The sequence below is a fragment of the Homo sapiens genome, chromosome 12, assembly GCF_000001405.40.
Source record: "Homo sapiens chromosome 12, GRCh38.p14 Primary Assembly".
Taxonomy (NCBI): domain Eukaryota; kingdom Metazoa; phylum Chordata; class Mammalia; order Primates; family Hominidae; genus Homo; species Homo sapiens.
The window spans coordinates 117,286,592-117,298,899 of NC_000012.12; the positions used below are offsets into that span (position 1 = coordinate 117,286,592).

The following is a 12,308-nucleotide window of genomic DNA, read 5'->3' on the forward strand; positions in this document are numbered from 1 at the left end:
TTTCCAGAGAAACTGGAAATCTGAGTTTTAAGGGGAACTCTTATAATTTTTAAATGTTGGCAATGAATTCAATTTTAGAAAGTTAGAAAAATTTTTGGTTTACAAAATGGTATACAGGATAATATAATAAACTCCCATGTCCCAAGCCTAAAAAATACTATAATAGTTTCTTGGGGAATACTTCCCCACTGTAGCCCATTCTGTCCCCAGAAGTGACTGCTATCTTGAACCTGGCATTTACCATTCTCATACACTTGTTCATATCTTTGCCACATGTATATCTATCCTTCAATCATGTACAATATCATTTTGCATGTTTAAAGCATTCATATAGGCATACAGGCCGGGTATGGTGGCTCACACCTGTAGTCCCAGCACTTTGGGAGGCCGAGGAGGGTGGATCACTTGAGGCTAGGAATTTGAGACCAGCCTGGCCAACATGGCAAAACTCTGTCTCTACAAAAAATACAAAAATTAGCTGGGTGTGGTGGTGCGTGCCCGTAATCCCAGCTACTCAGGAGGCTGAGGCAGAGAATCGCTTGAGTCTGGGAGGCAGAGGGTGCAGTGAGCCAAGATCATGCCACTGCACTCCAGCCTGGGTGACAGAGCAAGACTCTGTCTCAAAAAAATAAATCAATAAAAAAATTCATATAAATGGTGCTATACTGGATGTATCCTTTTACAATTTATCCTTTCTTTTGCTCAAAGTTAGCTATGAACATGAACTTAAATTCCATTAACATGCAGAGCGCTAATCCCTTTGATTTTTACAGTTGTTATAGTATTCCATCACTGGAATATACCATAACTTACCCATTCTCCTGTTGATGGTGTTTATGTGGTTTCTTTCTTTTGTTTTTTTTTGAGATGGAGTCTCGCTCTGTTCGCCCAGGCTGGAGTGCAGTGGTGTGATCTTGGCTCACTACAACCTCCACCTCCCGGGTTCAAGCAATTCTCATGCCTCAGCATCCCAAGTAGCTAGGATTATAGGTGTGCACCACCATGCCCTACTAATTTTTGTATTTTTAGTAGAGGTAAGATTTCACCATTTTGGCCAGGCTGGTCTTGAATTCTTGGGCTCAAGCAATCTGCCCGCCTCAGTCTCCCAAAGTGCTGGGATTACAGGCGTGAGCCACTGCACCTGGTCTCTTGTTAGTTCTTTAATTTAATTTTTTCCTGCTATAAACAATGTTTCAGTGAACATTCTTACTGATGGTTCCTTGTGAACAGGTGTGAGAATTTCTTTAGGGTATGTATCTAGGCATGGAATTGCTTGAAATCTTTCAAATTATAAGCAACCCTTTGCAGGTGAAACAAAAGCACTTCTGGGGAACAGATGTGACCTATGGGTAGCCAGTCTTAAGCCTCTGTGTATGGCAGAGGCCTTGTGCCTTGGCCTTGGTTTGCAAAGTTGGGGCTGACATCTTTCTCTCCAGCATTCGATAACTTACCTCGGGCTCCCCGGAATTGACACACACTTGCCTTTTAATTGATGAATAGTATTGATCAATAAACTCTTTGGCGAGAGGGAAGAGCTGTCCTTTTGTGCGGACGTCTTCAGGCCTCCTTGCATGCTGAGAAGGATGCATGATGGAGCCCATGCAGATGTACTCAGTGCATCCCGTTTCCTGGAAGATCAAGAGATTTGGGGTATTGCTTGGTTTTACCCAAGAGTGGCAGGTGTTAGGCTGTGGGCTTGGATCTCGTACTCATGGTTGAGTTTATCTGGCCCTTAATTCCCAGAGGCAGTTTCTCAAGTACCAGCTTCAAATCCTTGGTGGATATGATCATAGTCATGTTAAGGAACAATAAGTAGCATTTTAAGGTTCCTAAAGTATTTGCTCTACTCATCTTGGGAACAGAAGCTTTTTGACTAGGAATCAGAATCATTGGTACTAAAATCTGAAATATTTTTAGATTTTGCATGATGATCAAGGAGGAACTAATAGAGTGGCTACAGTAACTCATTTGAATGCATCTATGATAGACTGATTGCAAAACAGGACCCTAATTTTTCCCCTCCCTGTATTCACACCCTTTGAGATGTGGCTTTACAACAATTCTCCATGAAGAAGTGGAACCTATCCCTTAACCCCTTGACTCTGGGCTGGTTTTGACCCTTAGGATGTGGCAGAAATGACCCTGTGACAACTCTGAGTCTAAGCCTCAAGAGTTCTTGCATGTTTCTGCTCATTCTCTTAGAACCCTGCAACTACATGTGAACAAGCCCAAGCTAGCTTGCTGGAAGAGGAGAGACCACATGGAACAGGGTTGAGTTATCTCAGCCAGGACCATCCTAGACCACCCTGACCTTAGCTGACCCCTCAGATGTAACTACAGATGCATGAGAAAGCCTCACCAAAATCAACAGAGTCTGGACCAGATCAATCACTGATCTACCCAGCCAATCCGTAGACTTTTGAAAAATAATACATAGTTTTAATAGTTGTTTTCAGCCACTAAGTTTCAGGGCAATTTGTTACATTGTAATAGCTTGCAGATACCATTCTTCCAAGAGGCCCAGGTTCAACAAAAATTTAAAGCAATATAATGGTTTGTTGACTATTAAAAATATGAAATAAAAATACTGAGGACACACTGTGAAATCAAGGAAGGGTTTGTTTAATACTCCACCAGTGGTCAGACTGTGAGAGACAGAGATGATATTCGCAAGCAGCAACTTCCCTTAGATTCTTTTGTGTACTGGGTTCACAAATAAAAAGCATTTACATAAGAGAGTGAGAATCCACCAGTGGTTCTCAAACAGGGGTGAATTTCTTGCCCAGGGAATGTTAGGTAATGTCTTGGAGACTGTAAGAGTTGAAGAAGGAAGAAAGAAACATGAAAAGTGGCTTAACAGTCAGAGACAGGTTTATTTTAAAGAATAAACCTGAGAGGGGCTTCTGGCCAAGTTAGGTTAGGAGCACTCTTTATTGTTTTTCTTTAAGTTCGGGATACACGTGCAGAACGTGCAGGTTTGTTACATATGTATACATGTGCCATGGTGGGCACCTATCAACCCATCATCTAGGTTTTAAGCCCCGCATGCATTAGGTGTTTGTCCTAATGAGGAGCACTCTTTTTTACAGACTAAGAGTATTTAAGGGTTTAGGGTGGTAGAGCTTATCACAAGCTTGGAATGTTTCTGTGTCTCTTTGTCTTGCTTATCTGGGAGGGAGAGTTTTTGTGTCTGTTCCCATATATTTTCTTGCAGCTGCAGGCATACCCCGCAAGTCTGCTTTTAGCTTCCCTATCTTTGTGCATCTAAAGGGAAAGGAATATGCTTATTAAGGCCCACTGTTTTACTGGAGCCCATTGTATGAGTTTGAAGTTTGGTGGTTACCCAAGAGACTTTCCCCCCTCCCTGTGTGCCCGAGCTGTCTTATCTGTGTTTTACTATCTGCTTTTTCTGGCTGCTTGTTGTTAGAAGGGAGGTGATTTCCTTGAAATACATGAAGTTAGAAAGGGAGCTGGAACTTAAAATGGCAGTGTTTGCCCAAGACGGCAGTGCTCCTGCTCTGTCAGAGACATTTTTGGTTGTCACAACCTGGAAGGGGGCGTACTGACATCTAGGGGGTATGGGTCAGGGGTGGTGCTCAACACCCTACAACAGAGGACAGCCCCCACAACAAAGACTTATCCGACTCCAAATGTGGATAGTGATGAAGCTGCCACCCTCTCATCTACACCCTGCTGGGATACTTACCAATGTGCTCTTAAGGTGGAGGGTGTCAGTGAGAACCACCTCAGTCTCCCAGTTCTTGACCTTGAGGAAGCGTGGACACTTGGAGGGGCTGCCATTCTTTGTGGGGGACTGTTTTCCTGAGGTGGGGGGCTGCAGGAGAGAATGAAGGTGGAAGATGAGGCAGGGCCTTGAGTGGACTGTAACATTGTCTCCACAGAGGCTGGGAGAGCCATTGTTCTTCCTGGGATCTGCCTTGAGTGACCAACTGTCTACATCCAGAGTAAGATCCAGCCCTTCCTGCTTGACATGTACAAGGTTCCTGGGAACCTGATTTCCCCACTTACATGGAAAGAAACACCATGGAAGAGCCTCTAGGATTCTGCTCTGGGGAGAGGGGTCAGGAACTCAAAGGTGGTCTCTCTGGTTCAACAGGGTCGGACACACTGAGGAAGGACTCGGTGAATATTTGTTGAATGAATACATGACTGAAAGGACACCATCAGCCTCTTTGAATGATAATAGCCCCCAGCACCGAGGAATCAAACCTAAAGCTGGGTCGATTTACTTGGATTTCTAGGCCTTTCTGTGACAGTCCAAACTCACCATTTCTGGCGAGTACTGAGAAAACAGAAAGATTTAAATTGAAAAATTTTGGGCCAGGCACAGTGGCTCACACCTGTAATCCCAGCACTCTGGGAGCCCGAGGTGGGCGGATCACTTGAGATCAGAAGTTCGAGATCAGCCTGGCCAACTTGGTGAAACCTTGTCTCTATTAAAAAATACAAAAATTAGCCAGGTGTGGTAGTGCACACCTGTAATCTCAGCTACTTGGGAGGCTGAGGCAGGAGAATCACTTGAACCCGAGAGGCAGAGGCTGCAGTGAGCCAAGATTGCACCACTGCACTCCAGCCTGGGAGACAGAAGGAGCCTCCATCTCAGAAAAATAATAATGAAATAAAATAAAATAAATTGAAAAAATGTGAAGCAAAGAATATTGTCCCCAAATTTCTGGTTTCTGATTTTTAAAACTTCCAGGCTTGTTCCTGCCTCAGGGCCTTTGCACTTACCGTCCCCTCTGTCTTGAACACCTACATGGAAAGAAACCATGGAAGAGCCTCTTTATGGGGACCTTTAGTCCCCCATTTGTCTTCACTCTGCAAATGATTTGGCCAGTAGGTGAGGGGGGATAAATCTCAGGCTGACCAGTGTTGGCCCATTCATTGTAGACCTCACTGATAAGGATTACATCTGTCTTTTTTTTTTTTTTTTTTTTTTGAGATAGGGTCTTGCTCTGTCACATAGGCTGGAGTGCAGTGGTCCAATCATAGCTCACTGTAGCCTTGACCTCCTAGGCTCAAGCAATCCTTCCACCTCACCCTCCCAAGTAGCTGGGACTACAGGTGCGTGTCACCATGCCCAGCTAATTTCTTATATATTTTGTAGAGATGGGGGTCTCACTATGTTGCCCAGGTTGGTCTTGAACTCCTAGACTCAAGTAATCCTCCTGCCTCAGCCTCCCAAAGTGTTGGGATTACAGGTGTGAGTCATCGTGCCTGGCCTAGGATCACATCTGTCTTGGATGCTCCTGGGTTATTGTCTACCTGCCTGGGTACAGGCACACACATGCATCAGGCAAGCATTGGTCACTTAGTAACTCTAAGGGAGGGGCAGCAGGTGCACCCTGATGCGAAAGCCAAGCAAGATCAGGGAGAAGATGAGCCAATGTTAAGTGACACTCATGCAAAGAGTACATCAGTGCACAGTGACCTTGAGGCAGGGCATTCATACATTCAATTAGCATTTATTGAGCACCTATTATAATACATGCTCAATAAATAGGCACTGGGGATTCAGCAGTGAAGAATACAGACAGGTACCTTGCCCTCTGGAGTGTTATGTGGTAGAGGTGGAGATAAACAGTAAGTAAACTAATATAGGGTCAGTATAATTCCAGGTGATGATAAGAATAGAAAATGGGGAGGTGACTGTAACTAAGTGGAGGGGAGAAGGGCAAGTGCAAAGGCACTGACATGGGAATGAACTTGTTAAGTTCAAAGGACCAGCAAGGAGGTTGAGTGTGGCTGGAGTGTATGCATGAGGGCAAGTGTAAGGAGATAAAATCAGAAAGGAGGCAGGGCACTCATCTCACTGGCTTGGAGGAGCTCAGGCTGGTGACGGTAGCTGTGAATTATGATCAAATGAGCTGGATCAAAGTCCAGGATAGAAGTCACAGAGAACTGCGAAGGACTAATACTGAAGACTAACATTAAATGAGCACTGATTATGTGCCAAGCAACAACCTTATTATCTCCATTTTACAGATTAGGAAACTGAGGCACAGAGAGGTTAAGTTGCCCAAGATTGTAGAGCTAATAAGCTGAAGAAAGGAGTCCAATCCAGGCAGTCTGGCTCCCAAACCATGCCCTTAACAGCTTGACTATCCTGCCTCCTGGCCATCAGGAATAATTCATTAATTTAACACATGTTTATTGAGTAGTTCCTATGTGCCAGGTGAGGCAGCAGAGACCAAGACTATAGTGACAAGCTAGATGGATGTGATCTCTGCTCCCATGGAGTCACAGTCCTGTAGGGGGTGACGAAAACTGAATGAGCCATTGCAATCGATTTAGCACAATGGATGCCATTACATGGGACCTTGGCAGCACAGGGGAGGTGGGAGCACATAGAAGACACATCTAACTTCTAGGTCAAGACCAGAAGATGAGTACGTGCTAGCCAGGCAAGGAAGAGGAAGCAAGGTCTTACAGGCAGAGAGAACAGATCATGCAGAGGTCCTGAGTTAAGAGAACTATCATGGCCACCTTTGCAGCCAGCGGAATAAGAGTTCTGAGTTCTGTGTTAAAGCATTCATGGCGCCATGTTGGAGCCTGGGGAACAGGAGGTGGGGAAGAGCGTGCCACTGTTAAAGACTGCTCCGGAAGAGTGCAGGCTGTGGCAGCACAGGGAACACACGGAAGGTGCTAGGATTCATAATCTTCCACGGCTCCTGGCCCTCGCCAGATCTGGTCCTCCTCAGTGCCGGGCGCTACCAACCATCTGTGCAGGACAAGCCACGGGTGGGAGCTATCTTAATCATCAGCCTCTTCTCTATCTCCCACACCCAACTCATCACTGACTCTCCCCCATTTTAGCTTTTTAACTAGCTCTAGAATCCATTCACTCCTCTCCCCTTCCACTGGCCAGCACCCTGACTAAGTCATCTCTTACTTGGATGATCATAGTCACCCCTAAATGTTAGCCATTATTTATTATTATAAATGTTATTATTATGTGACTACTAGCCCAATTTACAGTATTAGAAGTATTTCTTGTAGTACTGCAATACTTCTGCAAGTATTATTACTTGTATTACTTGTATATTATTACTTGTATTATTATTACTACTTGTATTATTACTTGTATTACTATTATTACTTGTATTATTATTACTTATATTATTACTTGTATTACTATTATTACTTCTGCAAGTATTACTACTACACTACCACACTGGGAGCATGATAAAGGTTTGGGCGAGTTCTTTCCTTTGTTCCTCATTTATACTTTCTAGCCTGTCTAAGTTATTGTGCCCATGTTTCCCTAGGAAGTTGGATACAAACAACCCCACTTTGTTCAAACGTCTGGCCAGGCACCCTAAACACTTCTTTAAGATCCTGTCTCCCCTCCTGTGTCTTCCAGGAGGAGTCTTGGAGGTGATGAAAGTCACATCTGGGCAGGGCTTTGTAGCAAACACATCCCTCTGATTGTGCCCACAACCTGTATCATTGAGAAAAAAAACAAATAATCCTACCTTGCCCACAGGAAGGCACCCCAGCCATTCTCCCTACATACCCAGTTTCACTCAGCCAGTTTAGAAACCCTCTCGGCCACCCATGTGAACACTGTAGAGGCTGAGGAGCAGCTGAAATCCCAGGGCGGGGATGACAGATGTGGTGATGACATCGGGTCTGGGCCCAGGACTCAGAGGGTGGGGGGCCAGGCGTGAGGAGGAGGAGCAGGGTGTGGCCTGTGGGCGGCAGCCGACAGTTTTCATCACCAGGGAGGGGGAGGAGCGAGATAACAGGACTAATAAAAGAGGCCATCTGTTGAGGTCCCAGATGTGCGAGGGGTGGTCGTTACGAGTCAAGTAATTGGCTGCCCGAGTGCGAGCCGTGCCACCCTCCGCCCTGGGTTTCACTGGATTGCACACTTGAAACCAGGCATTAGGAGGCTTCTGGCAGGGCTGTTGTACTTGGCACTTTGATGTTTTAATTAGCCAGCAGCAATATTAGATGACTCAGGAGGGGAGAAACGGGGAGATTAATATAGCAGTCAGGGGCCCTGCATGCAGGATGCAAATGACTATTCTGAGTGGGCACCAAAGTTCTCCTGGTCAAAATGCAGATTAGCAGCACTTGTGAGTTATTATGTTGGGCACAGGGCACAAGTGGGCTTTGGGCTGTGGCTACATACTCCCTTTTCTGGCTTTATGTCTGTGGTGGGGACAAGGGAAGCTTTTAGGTGGGAGGAGACATTGGCTCGCTCTTTGTGGACCCCTGGGACACCCGCCCCTAAGTGTGCAAAGGAGGCCATGATCTCATGGGCATTTTCATAGCCTTGTCAACACCTCTTTGCCTAGGAAGCTTGCAGAGGCCCTGAAGGAATGAAAGGAAATGGTCCTGCAGCCAGGCTCAAAAGGAGGCAGGGAGGTGCGGTCACGTCAGCCTGGGCTCCAGAGCTGAGAATGCCACTTCCAAGGACTGCTGAAGCTCTGATTCCTTTTCCCCTCTCCTTTTCTCCCTTCTTTCTCCCCTTCAACAAGTGCATATTGAGCACCTACTATATTTTGGGGACTAGTATTCTAGGACTCAGCAGCCACTGAATGACTCTCATCCCACAACTGGGAAAAGCATCTTACAGCTGCTTCTTCTAAAGCAGAGATCTGCAGACGGCGTGGCCCACTGTCTGTTTTTGTACAGCTTCTGAGCTAAGAAGGATTTTTTCCATTTTTGGGTTATTGAATGCAAAAATCAAAAGGAGAATATTTTGTGACACACAAAAGTTATATGATGTTCAAATGTTAGTATCCATAAATAAAATTTCATTGGGGCTCATTTGAGTCCATATAGCATGTGGCAGCTTTGACATGACAATGTCAGAGCTGGCTAGTATTTTGATAGAGTCCAAGGCCATGTGGCCCACAAAGCCAAAAATATTTATCTTGTCCTTTAGATAAAAGGTTTGTGGATGCCTGATGTAAAGGGTTGAATTCCAGTGGCTGACCCCGATCACTGCGTTTGCTCAAATGCCGTCATGTTAGAGATCTTTCCTGATCATTCTTTTTTTTTTTTTTTTTTTTGAGACAGAGTCTCACTCTGTCGCCCAGGCTGAAGTGCAGTGGTGTGATCTTGGCTCACTGCAACCTCCATCATCTTCTGGGTTAAGTGATTCTCCTGCCTCAGCCTCCTGAGTAGCTGGGATTACAGGCATGCACCACCATGCCTGGCTAATTTTTCTATTTTTTTTTTTTTTAGTAGAGACGAGGTTTCACCATGTTGGCCAGGCTGGTCTCGAACTCCTGACCTCAGGTGATCTGCCCACCTCAGCCTCCCAAAGTGCTAGGATTACACATGTGAGCCACTGTGCCGGCTGTGATCATTCTTTAAAGCAGTGTCACTTCCTTGTCATTCTCTGCCCCCAATCACCCTTACCATGCTTTGTTTTCCCCATAGCACTTAACACTACCTGTGGTCATCATGAGCATATATGTACCTGGACATGTATGTGCACACCTACATTTCTATATCTTGTAGATATAGATTTACATTTACCTATATAGGCATTTAGATAATACTTGTTTTCTGCCTACCCACTGTTCAGTTTGTTCTATCCCTGAAACAGTGCCCAGCACACAGTATATGTTCAATAAACATATGAGATCTGCATGAGACTGCATTCTGTCCTTCCTCCAAATTTATTTGAAGCCTGTGATAGTTAATACTGAGTGTCAACTTCATTGGATTGAAGAATGCAAAGTACTGTCCCTGAGTGTGTCCGTGAGGGTGTTGCCAAAGGACACTAACATCTGAGTCAGTGGACTGGGAAAGGCAGACCCACCCTCAATGTGGGTGGGCACAATCTAATTAGCTGCCAGTGCAGCCAGAAGAATAAAAGCACCAGAAGAACATAAAAAGACCAGACTGGCTTAGCCTCTGAGCCTACATCTTTCTCCCGTGCTGGATGCTTCCTGCGCTTGAACATTGGACTCCAAGTTCTTTAGCTTTGGGACTCGGGCTGGCTTCCTTGCTCCTCAGCTTGTAGATGGCCTATTGTGGGACCTCACCTTGTGTTCGTGTGAGTTAATACTCCTTAATAAACTCTTTATATATACATCTATTCTATTAATTCTGTCCCTCTAGAGAACCCTGACTAATACAAAGCCCTAACCTCCATCCCCCACCCCCATGTGATTTTGTTGGGAGATAGAACTTTTAGGAGATAATGAAGGTTAAACAAGATCATAAGGGTGGGGCCCTAATCTGATAGGATTGGTGGCCTTATATGAAAAGGAAGAGAGAGCTCTTTCTCTTTGTCTGCCATGTGAGGACACAGAGAAGGCAGATGTCTGCAAGCTGACAAGAAAGCCCTCTCCAGAACCTGACCATGCTGGCACCATGATCTTGGACTTCCAACCCCCAGAACTGTGAGCTGTAAATTTCTGTTGTCTAAGCCACCCAGGCAATGGTCCTTTGTGATTAAAACCTGAGCAAACTAACACAAGGTCTAAAAAGTTTCAACACTGTAGAGTTCCTTAAATGCTAAGCCAAGGATGTTGGCCTTGATTTCATAGAGTGAGTGATCTTATCTCAGCTGGATTTTAGGAAAGACATGATTGCAAGGATTGCAGGAGGGAGAGGGTCAAGGCAGAGAGACCCATGAGGAGGATGGTGCAATGAGGCCAGGAGTAGCCATGGGGTTGGAATGCAGCTGCAGGGGCAGCAGGACTGGAAGCAGGGAACTGAAGGTTGGGGGCTCTGGAAGTGGAACTGAGAGTCTCTGGGTAGGAGAGGATCGGGGCAAAGGATAAAGTAAACATGGATTGGGTAAGTGGAAGGATGGTGGGCTTTTTTTTGAGATAGAGTTTTGCTCTTGTTGCCCAGGCTGGAGTGCAATGGTGCGATCTCAGCTCACTGCAACCTCTGCCTCATGGGTTCAAATGATTCTCCTGCCTCAGCCTCCTGAGTAGCTGGGATTACAGGCATGTGCCACCATGCCTGGCTAATTTTTGTAGTTTTAGTGGAGATGGGGTTTCTTCATGTTGGTTGGGCTGATCTCGAACTCCCGACCTCAGGTATCCGCCTGCCTTGGCCTCCCAAAGTGCTGGGATTATAGGCATGAGCCACTGCACCCAGCTGGATGGTGGGCTTTTTAGCAGACACTAGGAAGTAAGAAGCAGGTGTGCTGGGCAGTGGACAGAGGGAGATTTTTTAGGCAAGAAGACAGAAACTCAGCACCAGAACTCAGAACACCAAGACACAGAGGCCAAGCACCTGCCCTTCCCTAGTAGTGGCTGTCACTGTCACGAGCCTCACAGTGAAACCAGGACTGACAACTACACCAGGGGAGGCAGGCAGGCGCCTCCAAGACATACAACATCTTAGGAGCTATTATGGCAGCAGTCCTCAACCTTTTTGGCACCAGGGATCGGTTTTGTGGAAGACAATTTTTCCATGGACTGGTGGTCGGGGGCATGTTCAGGATGATTCAAGGGCATTACATTGATCGTGTGCACTATTTCTATTATTATTATATTATAATACACAATGAAATCATTACACAACTCACCAGAATGTACAATCAGTGGGAGCACTGAGCTTGTTTTCTGCAACTAGATGGTCCCATCTGGGGGAGATGGGAGACAGTGACAGATCATCAGGCATTAGATTCTCATAAGCGCAGGCAGCCTAGATCCCTTGCAGGTGCAGTTCACAGTAGGGTACGAGCTCCTATGAGAATCTAAGGCCACCACTGATCTGACAGGGGGCAGAGCCCAGGCGGTAATGCGAGCGATGGGGGCAGCTGTAAATACAGATGAAGCTTCACTTGCTCGCCTGCCGCTCACCTCCTGCTGTGCAGCCCAGCTCCTAACAGGCCAGTACTGGTCTGTGGCCTGGGGTTTGGGGACCCCTGTATTATGGGCTGAACCATGTCCTCCCTCCCCATCCCCATCAAATTCATATGTTGATGTCCTAAACTGCCTCAGAATGTGGCTTTCTTTGGAGTTAGGGCCTTTACAGAGGAAATCAAGTTAAAAACGAGGTCATCAGCATGGGTCCTGATCCAGTAGGGCTGGTGTCCTTAGAGAAAAGAGAAATTTGAAGGCAGATGTGCTCACAGGGAGAGCGCCATGTGAACATGAAGACGGCCACCTACAAGCCAAGGAGGGAGGACTGGGTCAGCTTCTCCCTCCCAGCCCTCGGAAGGAACCAGCACCGCCAACACCTTGATTTTGTATTTCTGGCCTCCAGAACTGTGAGGCAATCCATTCTGCTGTTTAAGCCACCAGTTGGTGGTGTTTTATTACAGCAGCCCTAGTAAACTACTCTAAGAGCTAAGGCCTAAA

General features: G+C 46.0%; 1 protein-coding gene across 4 annotated transcripts in view; it reads right to left on the reverse strand.

Annotated features, from left to right (window-relative positions):
• NOS1 (nitric oxide synthase 1) overlaps nt 1-12,308 on the reverse strand; it is a 153,485-nt gene that overhangs the window by 78,450 nt on the left and 62,727 nt on the right. For all 4 annotated transcript variants that reach the window (NM_000620.5, NM_001204218.2, NM_001204214.2 and 1 more), the window contains 2 exons: nt 3,707-3,835; nt 1,483-1,628 (listed from right to left, as the gene is read on the reverse strand). In NM_000620.5, the coding sequence (NP_000611.1) occupies nt 1,483-1,628; nt 3,707-3,835 (275 nt within the window). The remainder of the gene's footprint in view (nt 1-1,482; nt 1,629-3,706; nt 3,836-12,308) is intronic.